The sequence below is a fragment of the Homo sapiens genome, chromosome 2, assembly GCF_000001405.40.
Source record: "Homo sapiens chromosome 2, GRCh38.p14 Primary Assembly".
Classification (NCBI taxonomy): domain Eukaryota; kingdom Metazoa; phylum Chordata; class Mammalia; order Primates; family Hominidae; genus Homo; species Homo sapiens.
In genome coordinates this window covers 6035390-6055115 of record NC_000002.12, presented here as the reverse complement: position 1 = coordinate 6055115, position 19726 = coordinate 6035390, and the positions used below count along the sequence as shown (strand labels likewise).

At 41.7% G+C, this 19726-nt stretch overlaps 1 annotated feature.

Moving 5' to 3' along the window:
- Window positions 536-1277: an enhancer, noted in NCBI's record as "OCT4-NANOG-H3K27ac hESC enhancer chr2:6193971-6194712 (GRCh37/hg19 assembly coordinates)". NCBI's record gives its function as "activates a minimal SCP1, AML or CMV promoter by ChIP-STARR-seq in primed H9 embryonic stem cells {active_cell/tissue: H9 hESC(primed)}" and the evidence as "EXISTENCE:reporter gene assay evidence [ECO:0000049][PMID:30033119]".

Genomic DNA, 19726 nt, shown 5'->3' with positions numbered 1-19726 from the left:
CCCCAAGGTCACTTTTTTAGATGCCTCTTGTTACGTACATTTATTCACGTCTCTCTCCTCCACTAGACGTTAGGCCCCCACTCTGTCTCCCTAGAATAGTAACATGAATGAGAATTGGGGAATTAATGACTGTCCACCAGAGCATCTGTTTTCCTGTCTGACACCTTTCAATACCACCCCGCCCCAAACTTGAATGGAAAGCTTGCTTAATAAAATCGGCAAGCACCCTGGCAAATACATGCTTGCTCCTGTCTCCTTAAGAAGCCACAGGGAAAGGCTACCAGGAACAGTGGCAGGGGGCAGGCAAGGGAGAAGAGACATAAACGAATGGAAGCAGAGAGAAGAAAATGACTGCATTTAGGTCAGGCTTCTCACTTTCCCCAGAGCCCCTCCACCTTCATATGTGTTCTCATTTCAGGTGTCACTATTCACAGAAACCTCTGGATTCCCAACCTCCAAGCAGCCTCTCTCCCTCCCTGCCCCTCCCTCCATCTCTCCCTCCCCCACAAAGGCCTCTGCCGTACATCATGGAGCTTCCTGAATGCCATGTGAGCATGAACTCACAGATGCATAATTTATACAGACATGCATTCGCTGACTGATGCCACTTTTTTCAGAGTCATTCAAAAGCAAACGAAAGAATTGCTCCCAGAATATGAGGCACAAATCAGATGGCAGTGGCCCCAGTGGTATTGTGCAACTTGTGCCTTAATAACGTTAAAATCTCTCTGCAGCCTCCACGGGGTTTGTTTCAAAGATCCATGTCTGAAGCCCCTGCATCTCTTTAGAGCACAAGTCACACTGAGCCCTTCCTCACGTTATTTGCAAGTGGCTCACCTTGCCCACTCTTCAAACATGACCTCATTGCCACCTGCCAGGCAGCAGCTTTGTGTGAAATGCTGTCCTATTATGTAGGAAGACGGTGGGATCTTAGAATACCTCACATCCAAACAGCCAGATTGAAAAGAGCAGATGGAAATAAGGGGGTAGGGAAGAGGTCAGGGTAGGAATTAAGGACTCACTTCTCATTGCTTTAGCAGCCGTCCCCACCCCACCATACACACATTTTTAAAAACAGTTATTTAAAAAAAAATGGAAGAGAACAAAAACTCACAAATCCATTAGTCAACGACAAATGAGTCTCATACCCGGAGGCATTCCTTGTCTCAGAGTTGGTCTGAGATCGTTTTTCAACATGGGAGCTACATCGCAGTACCTTGACTGCTTCTCAATAGGGAGGCTGGGCTTTGCAGTGAGTCAAACACTGAAGATGTATTTAATCAAAATTACACTGCTCCTTGACCAAGGTTCCTGGCAGTCAGGCCTTGGAGATGAAATATTAATGAATAAGGGAGGAGACAAAGAAAGAAACCTATGGAGTGGGTTTAATATTTTGTTCCGAGATCATCCCTGTGAGGAATGAAAGACAAAACAGGTGTGAGTGAGCTTGTGGAATCTATTTGAATTATAAAGTAAGAAAAGGAAGCCAAATTTTGCCTAAGACAAGGACAGGATTTTAAACAAGTAAGGGCATTTTCAGACCTAGGCTAAGAGAAATTAGAATTAGTGCACTGTTACATTAAAAATACCCAGGGCAAACAGAAATGAGGCATATGGAGAGCCCGTGTATTACACCATTGCCCTCATGGGGAAAAAAATGGCAAATAAATTAAGATCACAATTTGTTATGCATAAACTCACTTTATATAGTATAAAGCAAAATTCTGCCCATAAGACTTGACATTTAGAATCTTGTTTTGTGGCTGCAGCAGGGATGTGAAGACATACCTTGGATTTTTACTAATAAATATTAGAGAATCCAGTGAGTTGAATAATCACACGGACTGGGCATAGTTGAATACGTGGACACTTATCAAAGGAAGAAAGCATATATGTCAAATTCAAAAACAAAGTTAGGGTTGTAACAAATACATATTTTCTGGTAAAATTGGTTTATGATGATTTTTTCTATAGGATTTGGAAAAAGAAAATAATCTATTTTTTAAGCTCACATGTATTTGGCAATAACACATCTGTAAAATGTCTAACGTGTGGGTTAAAATAATTGCAGCGCAAGTACAGTACTTTGTGCTGAGAAAGTTTCATTCTGTGATTGGAGTGAGCTATTATAAAATCCTGCTCTGGGAGCATTTAAGGAGTTATAAATTCAGCACTGAATTTATATAGTCCCTTGCCCTTCACGGACCATCACTTACTCCCTTAGTGAAGCTGGAATGGAAGAACGGAGCTGCAAGCCTCTTTCACGCAGCACTGTTTCCCTTTACCGTGCAGTCTATGTGAAACATCTGTTGGTTTTACCAAGAGACAAGCCTCAGAGGATATAGGGCAGGCTTTGCAACTCATGAAACAAGGTGTCTAAGTTCTTGCGGTTTTCCAGACACCTTCAAGTTATACAGAAAGGTAAATGCAAAGGCAAACATCACGCCCGTGTGAGGCTATGCTGTGTGGTACTGATGCAGGACCATGGCAGGCAGGGTCCTCTTCTCCAGCCAGCATCTGCCCCCTCCTCACACTTCATCGTGACTAGCAGAGATAAAGTGTTGGAAGCTTTCTGACAATGGCTGGAATGTTTCATCAGTGACCAGAAAGAAGTAATTGCTCTTCAGTAATTTTTGGTTTCAGAGCATGGATCTGCCACACAGATTTGCCACACACAGCTCCAGTTTGGCATTCAGTAAAGAAGCCGGTTACATTAATTCAAATTAGCTTCAAGGAGAAGCTCAATTAATGATAAAGTGAAGAAATGTGCTGGATTTCCCTGCACCAAAGGCTGCTTCTCAGCACACAGCACAGCGGGCTAGCTTCTACTATGCAATATCTTCTACTTCATTTGGGAGACTGTTATACATGTGAGACAAATTGCAAGAGATTCAAAAGGAAACTAGTAGATGAATGCTGCAAAGGGAGATATTCACTGAAGCCTGTGGAAGTAAGGCCAGGACCTAGCTGTGGAAGACAATTCCACCAGATTTTCATTTTGAGGACCGCTTGGGTCTAATTGACACAGGCTTGAACTGAAAGCAATACCATTCCTGATGTTGACTGTTGCTACTCACATGGCGCATTAGGTGGAATCAACTGGACAAAGGAATGAATCCTGAAAGAACCTGCATACTTGGAACAGAAGTGGTTGTTTACAGATCAAGCACACTGGGAAGAAATGGCTGAAAGAAAACGTTGGGGCTTTTTCTTCTAGGTGACCCTTAGCACACTGCACACTGGAGGCCAAAACCAGCATATCACCCACTTTCGTAAGTGGAGTTTTATAGGACAGCAGCCGTACCCATGGAGGGACACACCGCCTACAGCTGACTTCAACTCACAGCACTGGAGTTGAGAAGTTTCAACAAAGACCTTGTGTCCTGCAAAAACAAGCACATTTACTCTCTGGATCTTTATAGAAAGAGTTTGACAACCTCTGTTAATAGGCAATGGACAGCTGTTACAATTTGTCTCTCCATAAGGATACGACAATTAATGAAAGAGGACAGAAATCAAAGAGTGAAATTTCAAGATTGTTCAAGATTTTTCCAGCTCAATAAATCTGGGATCTCTTAACTTCTTTAGAAAGTCACCTAACCAACAAACCTGTATTAAACCACGGGCTAGGCAGTCATTGGATTAAATACTTCCTTGATCAAAGTGATAGGCATTGTAAAATTATTTCCTACTTTGGATTCTTTAAATAATTGTGTGCAGAAGATTGTATAGGTTGTGTAGATTTTGCAGAAATACATAGATTGCTGAATGGGAGCAGAAGAGTTAATTCTTTTTTTTTTTAACTTTTATTTTAGGTTCAGAGTTACTTGTGCAGGTTGGTTATACAGGTAAACTCATGTCATGGGGGTTTGTGGTACAGACTACTTCATTTCTCAGATGCTAAGCCTAGTACCCAATAGTTATTTTTTGTGATCTTCTTCCTCCTCCCACCCTCCACCTTCAAGTAGGCCTCAGTATCTGTTGTTCCCCTCTTTGTGTCCATGTGTTCTCATCATTTACCTCCCACTTACAAGTGAGAACATGTGGTATTTGGTTTTCTGTTCCTGCAGTTCCCGCATTAGTTTGCTAAGGATGATGGTCTCCAACTCCATCCATGCTCCTACAAAAAGACATGATCTTGGTTTTTTTTTGGCTGCATAGTATTCCACGGTGTATATGTACCACATTTTCTTTATCCAATCTACCCTTGATGGGCATTTAAGTTGATTCTATGTCTTTGCTATGATGAGTAGAACTGCAATAAACATACATGTGCCTGTGTCTTTATGATGAAATGATTTTTATTTCTTTGGGTATATATCCAGTAATGGAATTGCTGGATCAAATGGTAGTTCTGATTTTAGCTCTGTGAAAAATAGCCACGCTGCTTCCCAGAATAGTTGAACTAATTTACGTTCCCACCAACAACGTATAAGCATTCCCTTTTCTCTGCAACCTTGCCAGCATCTATAACTCTTGACTTTTTAATATTATAATAGCTATTCTGACTGCTGTGAAATGGTGTCTTGTTGTGGTTTTATTTGCATTGCTCTAATAATCAGTGATATTGAGCTTTATTCATATGCTTTTTGGCTGCTTGTATATTGTCTTCTGAAAGTGTCTACTTATATCCTTCACCCACTTTTTAATGGGGCTGTTGTTTTCTTGTAAATTTGTTTAAGTTTCTTCTAGATGGTGGATAGTAGACCTTGTCATATGCATAGTTTGCAAATATTTTCTCCCATTCTGTAGCTTGCCTGTTTATTCTTCTGATAGTTTCTTTTGCTGTGCAGAAGCTCTTAAGATTAATTAGATCTCATTTGTCAATTCTTGATTTTGCTGTGATTGCTTTTGTTGCCTTCATCATGAAATCTTTACCAGTTCCTATGTCCAGAATGGTATTGCCTAGGTTGTCTTCCAGGGTTTTTAGAGTTTTGGGTTTTACATTTAAATGTTTCATATATCTCGGGTTGATTTTTGTACATTATGTAAGGAAGGGGTCCAGTTTCAATTTTCTGCATAGGGCTAGGCAGTTATCCCAGCACCATTGATTGAATAGGGAGTCCTTTCCCCATTGCTTTTTTTGTCAGCTTTGTGGAAGATCAGATAGTTGTAAGTTTGCAGACTTATTTCTGGTCTCTCTATTCTATTCCATTGGTCAATGCATCTGTTTGTGTACCAGTACCATGCTGTTTTGGTTACTGTAGCCCTGTAGTATAGTTTGAAGTTGAGTAGCATGATGCCTCCAGCTTTGTTCTTTTTGCTTAGAATTGCCTTGGCTAATCGGCCTATTTTTTGGTTCCGTATGAATTTTAGAATAGTTTTTTTCTAGTTCTGTGAAGAATGCCATTGGTAGCTTGATAGAAATACCATTGAATCTGTAAATTGCTTTGGGCAGTATGGCCATTTTAATGATATTTATTCTTCCTATCTATAAGCATGGGATGTTTTTCCATTTGTTTGTGTCATCTCTGATTTTGTTGAGCAATGTTTTGTAATTCTCATTGTAGAGATATTTCGCCTCCCTGGTTAGCTATATTCTTAAGTATTTTATTCTTTTTGTGGCAATTGTGATAGGGATTGCATTCCTGATTTGGCTCTCAGCTTGACTGTTGTGGTGTAATTTTTCTATGTTGATTTTGTGTTCTGAAACTTTGCTGAAGTTGTTTATCAGCTGAAGGAGCTTTTGGATAGAGACTATGGGGTTCTCTAGATATAGAATCATGGATAATCAAAGCAGGGATAGTTTGATTTCTCTCTCCCTATTTGGATGCCCTTTCTTCCTTTCTTTTGCTTGATTGCTCTGGAAAAGACTTCCAATACTATGTTGAATAGGAGTGCTGAGAGAAGGCATCCTTGTTTTGTGCTGGTTTTCAAGGGAGCTGCTTCTAGCTTTTGCCCATTCAGTATGTCATAGTTGACTCATTATTTTCAAGTGTGTTCTTTCAATACCTGGTTTATTGAGAGTTTTTAACATGAAGAAATATTGAATTTTATCAAAAGGCTTTTCTGCAACTGTTGAAACTATCGTATGGTTTTTGTTTTTAGTTCTGTTCATGTGATGAAACACATTTATTGATTTGTGTATGTTGAACCAACTTAGCATTTTATGGATAAAGCCTATTTGATCATGGTGGATAAGCTTTTTGATGTGCTGCTGGATTTGGTTTGCCTGTATTTCACTGAGTATTTTTGTATCAATGTTCATCAAAAATAATGGCCTGAAGTTTTCTTTCTTTGTTTTGTCTCTGGTAGCTTTTAGTACCAGGATGATGCTGGCCTCTTAGAATGAGTTCAGGAAGATTACTTCCCCCTCAATTTTTTGGAATAGTTTCAGTAGGAATGTTTCTGTAGGTGGTCTATTTACTCTTTCGATAGTTTCTTTTCCTTTGCAGAAGCTCTTAAGTTTAATTAGATCTCATTTGTCAATTTTTCCTTTTGTTGTGATTGCTTTTGGTGTCTTCATCATGAAATCTTTGCCAGTTGCTATGTCCAGAATGGTATTGCCTAGGTTGTCTTCCAAGGACTTTAAAGTCTTGGATTTTACATTTAAGTCTTTCATCCATCTTGAGTTTATTTTTGTATATTATGTAAAAAAGGGGTCCGCTTTCAATTTCATACATCTGGCAGAATTTAGCTGTGAATCTGTAGGGTCCTGGGGGTTTTTTGGTTGGTAGGCTATTTATTGTTCATTCAATTTTGAAGCTCATTACTGGTTTGTTCAGGGAATTGATTTCTCCCTGATTCAGTCTTGGGAAGGATTCCATCTTTTCTAGGTTTTCTAGTTTGTGTGTATAGAGGTGTTCATAGTAGTCTCTTAAGGTTATTTGTATTTCTGTGGGGTCAATGGTAATATCTCCTTTTTTTTCTGAGTGTGTTTTTTGGATCTCCTCTCTTTTCTTCGTTTATAGCCTAGCTAGTGGCCTCAGTATCATATTCGTTTTTTAACAAAAGCCAACTCATAAATTTATTGATCTTTTAAATTTTGTGTGTGTGTGTATGTGTCTCTATCTCCTTCATTCAGCTCTGCTCTGACCTTGTTTTTTTTTTTTTAATCTTCTGCTAGCTTTGGGGTTGACTTTCTCTTGCTTCTTTAATTTGTTTAGTTGTGATGTTTGATTTTTTATTTGAGACTTTTCTAACTGATGTGGGCATTTAGTGCTATAATTTTCCCTCTTAACACTGTCTTGGCTGTATCCCAGAGATTCAATATTTTCTCTTTATGTTATATCTTTGTTATCATTAGTTTCAAAGAACTTCTTGATGTCTGCCTTAATTTCATTATTTACCCAGAAGTCATTCCGGAGCAGGTTGTTTAATTTCCATGTAATTTCATGATTTCAAGCAACATTTTTTTAGTCTTGATTTCTATTTTTACTGCACTGTGGTCCAAGAGTGTTTGATATGATTTTAGTTCATTTGCATTGGCTCAGGGTTGTTTTATGTTCAATTGTGTCATCAATTTTAAAGTATGTGCCATGTAGTGATGAGAAGAATGTATATTCTATTGGTTTTCAGTGGAGAGTTCTGTAGATGTCCATCAGATCCATTTGATCCAATGTTGAATTCAGGTCCTGAATACCTTTGTTAATTTTCTGCCTTGATGATCTGTTTAATACTATTAGTGTTGAAGTCTCCTCCTATTATTGTTATAGTAGTGTGGGAGTCTAAGTATATTTGAAGGTCTCCAAGAATTTGCTTTAGGAATTTGAGTGCTCCTGTATTGGGTGCATATATATTTAGGATAGTTAGGTCTTCTTGTTGAATTGAACCTTTTACCATTATGTAAAGACATTCTTTGTCTTTTTTTTAATCTTTGTTGGTTTAAAGTCTATTTTGTCTGAAATTAGGATACCAACCCATGTTTTCTTCTGATTTCCATTTGCTTGGTAGGTTTTCCTCCCTCCCTTTATTTTCACCCTGTTGATGTCATTATGTATGAGATGGGTCTCTCCTCTTGAAGATAGCACACCATTGAGTCTTACTGTTTTTTTTTTTTCAGCTGACTACTCTGTTCCTTTTTAAATAGGACATTTAGCCTGTTTACATTCAATGTTAGCATTGATATATATGACTTTGATCCAGTCTTCGTGTTGTTAGCTAGTTATTATGCAGACTTGTTTGTGTGGTTGCGTTATAGCGTCACTGGTCGGTGTACTTAAATGTGTTGTTGTATAGGCTGGTAATGACCTTTTTATATTTGTGCTTCTTTCAGGATCTCTTGTAAGGTGGTTCTGGTGGTGTCAAACCTTCTCAGCATTTGCTATTCTGAAAAGGATCTTATTTCTCCTTTGCTGAGGAAGCTTAGTTTGACTGGATATTAAATTCTTGGGTGGTTGAAGATTTTTTGTCTTTTAAGAATGTTGGGTATAGGCTGCCAATCTCTTCTGGCTTGTGGGGTTTTTGCTGAGAGGTCTGCCATTAGCCTGATGGGATTTCCTTCGTAGATGCCCTGCTTTTCCTCTCTAGCTGCTTTTAATAGTCTTTCTTTCATTTTGACCTTGGAAAGTCTGATGATTATATGTTTTGGGGATGATCTTGTGTAGAATCTTGTAGGTGTTCTCCGTATTTTGCAAATTTGACTGTTGGCCTCTCTAGCAAGGTTTGGGGAAGTTTTCATAGACAATATCCTGAAATATGTTTTCCAAGTTCTTTGCTTTCTCTCTATCCCTTTTAGGGATGCCAGTGATTTGTAGATTTGGCCTCTTTAGATAATGTCATATTTCTCAGAGGTTTTGTTCATTTTTTTTTTTCGTCTTATTTCAGAGCGTCAGTCTTCAGGTTTCAGGATTTTTTTCTCTGCTTGGTCTATTCTGCTGTTAATACTTGTGATTGCATTGTGAAATTATTGTAGTGTGTTTTTCAGCTCTATCAGATTAGTTAGGTTTTTTTATACTATTTCATCCATGAGCTCCTGTATCATTTTATTGTGATTCTTAGTTTCCTTGGATTTTGTCTTGCTGTTCTCTTGAATCTTGATGATCTTCGTTCCTATCCATATTCTGAATTCTATTTCTGTCATTTTAGCCAACTCAGCCTGGTTAACAACCATCGTTGGAGAACTAGTGTAGTCGTTGGGAGGACATACAACACTCGAGCCATTGGAGTTGTGGGAGTTCTCATGTTGGTTCTTTCTCATCTCTGCATGTGAGTGTTCCTTGAACTGCATTGTAGATTAAGGACAATCAGTAGACTTCTTGTCTTAATGTTTCCACAGGGCCCAGGCTTTGAGAAGGGTCTTTATTTGTAGCTGGCTTCTTGTCTTTGTTTTCACAAGTGAGTATGCTTGAAAGGTGTTTTTGGTGTTGAAGCTTTAGGGTGTGATCCAGTAGGTAGGTGGTGCTTAGGCATGTTGGTCAGTAGGTGCACTCTTGCTCAGTTGTGTGGCTCCCCTATATTTCCTCATATGTGCATCCGTGCTCCCTCTCAATACTCTGAAAGTGTGGACTCCTCTCCCACTTGAGTGCTGGCCATTGATTGTGACTTAGCATTCCTGGGCTGCCCAAGATAGCTCTGGGGTAATCCCAGGGTTTATGTTTCCACCCTCTCTTTGAGGCAGCAGAGGAAGGGACCTTACTCATGGTTGTGGCTGAGGGTCTTTTACTTGATTACTTGGGACTCCACCCCAGAAAGATGCAGGTCAGGAATTGCTCAGTGCAATCAGCCTGGGATGGGGCGGTAGTTCTGTGCTGTGGACCCGAGCCAGGGGTTCCCTTTCTGGTGACAAGTGGGGGAGGGGTGGGTGGCTGGGACCTGTGGCAGATAAACTGACCTCCTTTCCTTGGGTCAACTTCTGCTTATTGGAGGTGTGAATAAAATACTTGCTGTCTTTGCTCCTGCATTATTCCAAGGGTAGCAGAGGCAGTAACACTGCAGAGGCAGTGGCAGAGGGGCTTTTGGTTGCCCCTGGGGGCTCCATCTCTGAGGAACATGGAGCCACTGTTAATGGAAGTGTTCAGCCAGTGAGGTAGGCAGCTGCAGCACTGGCATGAGCTTCGGGCTTCACTTGCTGGGGAGCAGGGGGTTGAGGGCTCACTGGGAGGAGACTGGTCTCCTCTCTGTATAGTGATGGTGGTCTGCTACAGGCTCAGGTGTAGTCCTCAGGCTCTTTGTTTCTTCCCAGGTTGGGGATGGCAGGGATAAAATCACTGCTATGGGAGGGGCTGTAGATGGCTCTCTGGGCCTCTCCCCAGGACAACTCCAGGCTACTAACAGTGGGTATGTTCAGCCATGGGTGGGGCAGATGTTTTGCAGTCATGAGCCTGGGGCCCTACCTGGTGAAGAGTGGGAGGTGGGAGTTGCCAGGGAAGAGGGGCTGGACTCCTTTCTGTGTGGTGGCTGCCCTGTGCTGAAGGTACCAGTGTAGTGACCAGGTCCTTTGTTCTTTCCCCAGCCCAAGGACTTTTAAAATGAGGGTTGCGGATTGACTGCAGCTGCAGTGGTGGAGGGGTGGTGGGTTGATTCTGGCATTTCCTCCTCAAAGAAATACTGTGCTGCTTCTGATTGAAGTTGTCAGGTGAGGGCAGGGTGGTTGTGCTGGAGTCCAAGGTAGGGTGGACCTGTCCACTGAGAAGCAGTGAGGACTGAACCTGCATGGAGAATAGTCTGGCCACTTTTCCACGAGGTGACTGCTCTGTGCTGGGGGTCCTGACCAGCTCCTAGTCCTCACAGACTCCAGAACCTGGAGAGAGCAAGGGTGAGGGAGGTGAGACAGCAAAGATGGCAACCCACCCCTCCCACTGGGGGCTCTATCCCAGGGAGTTGCAGAGATGCTACTGGTTCCATAGCCCCAGCAATGGGGTGGCTGGAAACCCAGGCAGGGAGAACCTGCCCAGCAAGAAAATATGGGATCAGGAACCAACATAACAAACGGTCTGGCCACTTTTCCTCGGGCTGCAGTGTGCTGGGGGTCTGCTCCAATCCCTAGTCACCTTGGATTTTCCAGCAGCTGAAGGTGTCAATAGTGAAGGCTATGAAACAGCAAAGATGGCGACCTGCCCCACCCTCTAGGAGCTCTGTCCCGGGGAGGTGTGGACCTCTTGAGGGCCTGAACACACTGGTGGGGGTGGCAAGGGAACCCAGTTGGGAGGTCTCACTGAGTGAGGAGGAATGGGATCAGGGGCCCGCTTGCAAAAGCAGTCTGGATGCTTCCTAGAGCAACTGTGCTTTGTTGGGGGTCCGCTCCAGCCCCTAGTAGCCTCAAACTCTCCAAAGACTGAAGGCAGCAATGGCTGAGGCTGTGAAACAGCAAAGATGGGATGCTCATTCACTACCCAAATAATAAGTAATACTGACTAGGTTCCACAGAAAACTAGGCTTGACCACTTATATGGGAAGTTTGTTCACCCCTCTGTCTGGGAGCTGCATCCCACGGAGGTTTGGAACTGCTACCTGCTGGAAAACACCGGTTGGGATGTTATAGACCTCAGCTGGCAAATTTGGTCCAGTGAAGAGAATGGGATCTGACACCCACATGAAAAGTAGTCTGGCTGCCTCTTTGTAGACCTGCTGTGCTGTGCAAGGTACTGCTCCAGTTGCTGGTCACCTCATATTCCCCAGAGCCTGAAGGCAACAACGTCCAAAGCTATGAAACAGCAAAGATGGCGGCCTGACCCTCCCTCTGGCAGCTCCCTCTCAGGGAGGTGTAACGCTGCTATCCCTGCCTGGCTGAAGTTCCAAGCCAGTGGGTCTTATCCTGGGAGGTGCCTTGGAAGTGGGGCCTGCAGACCACGGCTGCTCATCCCCCTGGATTTCCTAGGGGTACAGACGGGGGTCGAACCTCCCACTTTGCCAGAGTTGCTGCTGCTTTTGCAGGGGAAGCCCAGATATCTTAAGCTCCTGGGGCTGTGCGTGTCGAACTGCAGGTACTGGTCGAGTGGGTTCATGAGGGGATCTCCTGATGCAAGCTTTGCAGAGATCTGTGGGAGAAGCATGGGTTCCCAGGGTCACTCACTCACTCGCGGCTTCCCTGAGCAGAAGAAGCTTCCCTGGCTCCATGTCACTCCCAGGTGAGCTGTTGCCCTGCCTTGTTTTTCTTTGTTTTTTTGTGGGTTATTTTCTTGATGAATCCCAATGCATGTACCCAGATACTTCAGTTGAAGGTGCAGTATTTATTAATATTTTCCCCTTCCATTTCTCTCAGTGAGAGCAGCACACACTAGCTGCTTTTAGTCAGCCATCTTGAAAAGAGTTAATTCCGATAACAAAGTGCCAATCAGCAGCTCCCACATTATTCTCCAAATTGCCAGGGCTTTGTACTATTTACGCAGGCACTTTCTATACCTTTACCCAGAAAAGTGAGCAAGAGAGAGTTTCTGGATCTTGGTAGTAGGAATACTATTAGTCTTTTCAGACTTAGGGATGCTCATTCACTACCCAAGTAATACTGACTAGGTTATACAGAAAACTAGGCTTGACTACTTATATAGAAAGTGTGCTCATCCACTAAGAAGTATAAAACCAAGCTTTAAATAAAGAATTTCTTAATTTAAAAGATGCAAAATGTTTAAATTAGGTGGTGAACTACTGTGAATTCCTAGCAAAACCAAAGGGACTGATTTGCCATTTGGATTTGGAGAAATCTCTTTTTTTTTCTGTAACATTAGGAACTTCTTTTTTTATCTTTTTTTCTTTTCTTTTCTTCTTTTTTTTTTTTTTTTTGAGACAAAGTCTTGTTCTCTCCCCCAGGCTGAAGTGCAGTGTGGCGTGATCTCGGCTCACTGCAAGCTCCACCTCCCGGGTTCACACCATTCTCCTGCCTCAGCCTCCCGACTAGCTGGGACTACAGGTGCCCACCACCACGCCTGGCTAATTTTTTTTTTTTTTTGTATTTTTAGTAGAGGCGGTGTTTCACCATGTTAGCCAAGATGGTCTCTAACTCCTGACCTCATGATCCACCCGCCTCCGCCTCCCAAAGTGCTGGGATTACAGGCATGAGCCACTGCGCCCAGCCAGGAACTTCTATTACTGTCAGAGGAAACTATAAAAGCATGCAGGAAGGAGAATGAGGCTGTGGTTGAGACATGTGTCACCCAAGTGCACCAAGTCTTTGCTTTCAGAATGTTGCCTCACTCCCATCCTAATCTTGCCTAGGATAGCCCAGGAGAGCACCTCTCTGAAGCTACCTCACTAGAAAGTCGATCTTTTAGTAGGGGGGGATGGAGACCAGCTGCTATGTGCCGCAAAGACAGTGATTTCCCCCTTTTGTAGACTTCTGAGCAATATTCCCGTTTCAGCTCGATACCACAAGCAGGTGTTCATAGGAATTCTGTGTCTGTAGTTTTTTAGCCTTTTCAAGTTTCGATCATGGGAATAAAATTGCTTCTAAGTGGTAAATATCTCTACTCTCCTTTTCTACTTTGCTAAGCCAGTTGTGACTTATTTATTCACTTTCCAACTTCCAGAATTGTATAGTAATCTCTTATTTCCTTTGTTATTTTGTTCTCTTTGCATTTGTATACAAATATATAAAAGTTGTCCTTGCTGTCATTGTAGCACAGTGTCACAAGAGAAGTAGAGATAAATCCACCATGTATATATTAGCTTGTTCTCACACTGTTAATAAAAGACATACCAGAGGATGGGTAGTTTATAAAGAAAAAGAAGTTTAATGAACTCACAGTTTCACATGGCTGGGGAGGCCTCACAGTCATGATGGAAGGCAAAGGAGGAGCAAAGGCACGTCTTACATGATGGCAGGCAAGAAAGTATGTGTAGAGGAACTCTCCTTTATAAAACAATTGACTCTCCTGAGACTTACTCACTATTAGGAGAACAGCACGGGAAAGACCTGCCCCTATGATTCAATTACCTCCCACTGGGTCTCTCCCATGACACGTGGGAATTATGGGAGCTACAATCCAAGATGAGATTTGGGTGGGGACACAGCTAAACCATATCAATGTGTAAGGTAAAGTTTGTGCCTTATTTTTTGCTTTAGTTTTATGGAAGTAGCCTGGATTGTGTCACTGCGGAAACTTTCTTTACTTTTGATCTCTTGTTTCATGCCAGTCTATTCAGCACAGTCTAATCCATGGGTAGACAGCCTCCCTGACTCACCCAACTGATCCACAAAGAGAACTGAAAAAATGAGCAGTGATAGTGGCCATCACCTTAAATGAATATAGACAGTGTTAGAGACAAAATATTAAAGTGTTCTCTGTCAATGCGGTAAATACATTTGAGAATGAGAAAATAACTTTTTAAAAACATTGCTTTTTAAACAAAGTTTCGTGGTCATTAGACCTTGATTAAAATTCGAACTTTACCAAATACTTACTAGGTCACCTTGGAAGAGTCTTTGAAGCCTCATTTTTTTTTTTTACTTGTAAAATGGGGGTTTTGTGAACAAAAATCAAGATAACAACTGTACAGTATTCAGCACTGTGTTTGACAGGTAAGTGATTCTTGAAAATATTAGGTCCATTTTTACATACTCACATGTCCAGCCTTCCTAATGGGGAATAATTTATATCAAAGAAAAATACATAATTTATTCAAATTAACCTTAAATTAGTTCTGTAAGTATTCTCTCCTTCAAATCTTGGGGACCAAGTCTTTTTTGTTGTTCTGGCTTTAAATTTCATTCAATTCCTTGGGCAGAACCTTTGGAAACTTAAAATAGCTTATTATGTTCTTTATGGAGTAACACGGGTACATTTCAGCATATAGACTCTAGTCAGAGAGACTTAAAAAATTAAATTTTCCTAAAACTGGAAAGGAACCAAACCTTACAAACATGGTTCTGAACAACGGCCATTGTAGTAATAGAGTTCCAGGAAAACAACAGAGACCACATTTTCAAAAACTCATTTCATGGCTGATTCCAGAGCGAGGTAGAGGAGGTACAATATAAGCTTGGAACATCTTTTTATACTACACATACTGTATATCTGCTACACTATTTCCATATAGGTAACATTATAAATATGTAAAAGCTGTGTATTTCTGACTTCATCATTTGCCAACTCTGAGACCTCAAGAAAGTCACCTCCCATAAGGTTTCCATCTTTTATTTGTACAGTTGGACTGACCACAGCTCCTCCCTCATGGTGTTGTTGTGAAGATTGTGTGGGACTGTACGTGGACACCTGGCTCCCCATAACTGATCATTGTTACCATAACCCAGAATTTCTCTTGTGATCAAGGCATTGTGTGGGGGTTGTCATGTGATGAGCTTTCTCTTTTCTGAGCATTGATCATCACCAAGAACATGGGTTTTTACTTCTTTGCATGGTCCTGTTCCCTAGTGTGGCTACTGCCATTACTCAGTGTTCCAGCTACTCACCTGCGGGGCAACTTGCCCTTCATAGTCCTCGCAGGAGGGCACTTTCCTGCCAAGTCTGGGAAAGGACCTGCTAAGTAGAAGCCAGACCAGCCACAGAGAGCCAGTGCGTGGCTTGGGAAGGCCGTCACTCTCAGGGAGAATGACTTCTTGTGTGTTGTTCAGAAGCATCAAATAATCACTTGAGCTGAGATGAGAGGCACTGTGAGCTTTCACAAAGACAGGCAAGCCAAGAACCTAAGAAGTAATATGGAATAGAGAGAAATACAGATTTATATTCAAATTATTATTACCATCCTGCTCCTAATGAATAGAATACGCTTTCTCTAGTCAGCACTAGTTTATGGTACCAGAAGTTGAATCACGTGCTTGAACAGGAAAACCCAATGCCCGCGTGAATCCCCACCATATACAGAGAGGGATGAGAACCAAGACCTGAGGCTTTCGGAAGGAGAATAAGACCAGAAAAGGGAGCAAAGAATTAACAAAGGTGGAAGCGGCTACTTTAAGTAGCAGCAAAAGTGACTCAGAAAAAACCACAGTTTTTAATCCTCTCTCCCAACCTGTCACAAGTTAAGGTTGTTTTATTTTCTTAACAAAAGCAAATATTTTAAATTGGTCAGAGAAAGAAAAAAGGAATAATTATTTATTAAAGGCTCTAAGAACAAGTTTCATAAGAGAGAGTTAGACACTATGAGCCAACCATAGCAGCAATCTTTCTAAGAAATAAATTTAGCGCACAAAAATGTACCATTATGACTCTAATTCAGAAAAAAAAAATGAAGATGAGTTTTCATTCATTTTTCATCCAAATCCTTTGGGCCCCTGTCACATTATTTGCTACCTGCCAAGTACTGGAGACTTGGATCTCCAATGACAATCTCTCTCTTTCCCTCACTCAAATGCAGGGCAAAACAAAAACAAAAACAAACAAACAGAAAAAAACAGGAAAATCAAAATACTCTCTTCCATAAATAGCTTTATTTCCAAATTAACTTTCTCTGTGCTTCATTGCTCGTGGGAACACCTACTAGGCCTCATTCTGAATAATTTTGGAGTAATCTTGTACCACATTCTTGCCTTTCAGAGAGGCACCTAAGGAATTCCTCTGTGCTCCTTTTAGGCAAAAAGATAATTCATATTTGTAAGAAGTTTCTGCATTTTCTTCTTTGGTCTCTGATACTCCTGTCCTAATAACTTGTAATTACTTTGCCTTTGAAGAGTGAGAGAAGGTGCTGTTCAGAGCATAGTCCCTTTTTTTCTGGGTCGCTATCTGGCATCTCTCTCATCTACATTTATAAAAAGCAGAATAGATTCTAACTAAATCCCATTTTTTCAGATAACTCTATTGAGTAAACTGATAAAGATGTTATCAGTGGGCCTGTTGTCATGTTTGATCAAGTTCTTTACAGAGCTATATAATCTCTCATAAAACCTGCTTGAATGGTATAGTTCAGAGAAATCTTTGAACAGTACTGTTTTGTTTTCTAGAATCAAGGGGGGTAGAGGAGATAGGGGGATTGCTTGAGAGGCTCCTGTTACTCACGTGGAGTGATGCTTAAATGGTTTGTTTTAGGAAAAAAAAAAACAACTCTCTTCTCATCTTTTACTGTCTTGCTATAAAATCCCACTCAAGGTACAAAATGGAACCTATTTTCACTTATTACTAGGGTGAAAAGAATGAGCCACTTCAAAATCACAGTTTTTTAAGGTTGAAATTTATTAAATGTCTATTATTTGTAGGGGACCATACCAAATATCCTACATGAATTATCTCATTTGATGCCTATGACAATGCAGGATGTTAATTCTGCTTTGGAGGTAAGGAAATTGAGGGCTGGACAGACTCGTCCAAGGTCACACAGCAGATACCTCTGAGCGTAAGAGGGGAACAGGGAAAGGAGGAAGGAGAAATAAAGCAGCTCTGTGTGGAGATGAAGTTCTGTGTATTTATGTCAGTTAGGGCTCTCATGGGAAACACACCCCCAGTAGGAGAATTCAGTAAGCTTTATTTACTGAGGGACTACCAATGTTTGGGTGGCTACAGAGGCATGGGGCTGCTGGCAGCTGAGCTTTTACCCTTCCTAAACCTGAGGGAGGAGGATGAGGGGAGAGAGACCTGCGGAGTCACAGAGTCATGGAGAATGACATTCTTTGAAAAGATGGACGACCTTCAGTCTGAGCAAGCAGCCACCCCGAGGCCACCTTGCTGGCATAGATTCACGACCTTGCTCTTCCCAGCTAGCCCATCAGGAGAACCTTCCTGCAGTCCACAGGCCACGGAGGTCCTGCTCACACCACCCTGACTCAGCCTCTCAAGCAGCCTATGGTGGGTACAGGACCCCAAGATCTATTCCCGTTTTCACCCAGAGCCCCCAGTACTCCCCATCAGTTTCAGCCACACTGGGCTCCCTGGCTCCTGCCTTGTGGCTCCTGTCCCTTTCACACAGGGATCCTTGTCTCTCTTGGTCTCATTTAGAGGGACAGAGCTAACCTGGAGTGATGACAGAGAAGGGGCCTGTTTCCAGGGCATGTGCAGTGGAGCTAAATCTGGATGAAAAGGAGTAGCAACATCGGGAGACTGAGGCAGGGTGGGCTGAGAGGGGGGTGGGCCATGGAGACCATCACTGTCCACCTTGTTTGGATATTTGACACTTGAATAAAGTCCTGGGACATTTACTCCTGCTTTTGGCCATCAGATATTCCTACCATTTCCCCATAAATAGAACTTTTTTGGGTGGACAATCAGGAGGCTGTCCCACACGCCTTTACTCCTCCACTGAGGGATTATTTCATTGGTTTATCCATTCACTGTCATTCATTTATCCATTCAATCAGCACATGTTATGAGCATGTATCACTTACTATTTGCACAAAGATCATTGTAATATGATCTATCTTTAAAGCATCTGCAAGCTACAAATAAAATTTTAGTGATCCTCACAAATAATTTTAATATTTTAAAAAGTGGGAAAACCCATGCAGATGGGATAGATAAAACGTATTAACTGTTGAAAAAACAAGGTTATTTTTAATCCTCATATCAGAAGTTCAAGGTTCAAGTTCTTCTCTTGTGGAGAATTGCCTAGCACCATCTTCCTAGAAACTCGGAGTAATTCTGCCCTAGACTTAACTGTCGACTCTGAATTCCTCTAGAAAGTGATGCTCTGATGGACAGAGTCCGATATCAGATGATACAGTGACTTCTACCATTCATGAGCTGGCTCTTGCGTTTACCTCTGCTTTCACCATTATATTTCCGTCCAAGGCTTCCTTCTGGCTTCTGTATTCTTTCAGGGACTGGGTGGGTTCCAGCCAGTCAATAGTCGACCAGAGATGGTGTCAGCTGCTTATGAGGAGTAGGAGACTTAAGCAAGTTAAGTGATGTCCCCATGCCGCACAGCAAGCCAAGGCTAAGACAAGGCCATAGGTCCCCAGTGCACACTCCATCATCCCACTCTCACTCAAAACTAGATAAGATGAAGCTAGATACAGGAAAGCTAATCTTCCCTCTGATTAAGTTAAGACAAGTCCATAATGAAAATTGATGCCCAATGGTTGCCAGGCACTGTCCCTTCTCTTTCTCTCTTAAAACCTCCAGGAAACTGCTCACTGCATTTGAGAAATGTGTCTCTGCATGTCTGTTTTCCTTACCCTCTTGTGAGTCCTGGGGACCACAACCTGTGTCTTATTTATGTTTGTATCTTTAGTAGAAAACTTTGCCTGATATGTCGAGGGCATGTATTAAATGCTCATTGAGGGAATGCTTGCACTCGTTCTTTCCTTTCTTAAAAATAATATTCACAAACCTTTAGTGACCAGACCCACAGCAAAAATTATTAAATGCTATTACTGGATGCCCCTTTCTCAAACAATTTCTACTAGTACTTCGTGAGAATATTAGCTCAGTTCCCATTTTACAGACAAGCAAATAGAGGCTACGGCTGGTTGAACAATAACAGCTAACGCTTCTTGATCTGACACTGTGTCAGGCACCATCTGGAGCACGCTCCCTGTAATGCTTCATTTAGTCTTTATGATGACCCTATGAGAAGATGAAATTATGGTCTTCATTATTTCATATGATGAAACTGAAGCACAGAGATGTTAAATAAATTGCCCAAGGTCACAAAGCCATTAACAAGAAGGCAGGATAGGAGGACAGTTAGTTCGACTTGAGGACTCGAGTCCTTAATGGCTTCATTGTACTGTCTTTAATGACATACCAAAGACTCAGAGATAGCCAGGGACCACGAGTTTTTCCTTTTGTTAATGACTTGGCTTATGATGCTGAAAATGTCTCCATCTTTCAGAATCTGGTTTCCTTATCTCTGAGATGTTATACCAACATCCACTTCCCTAATACAGGTCTGACTTTCTCCTAGACTGCCCCCAAGCCTACATAAAAAACATACATGTATAAGCCACTCTTTGGCTTTCAAA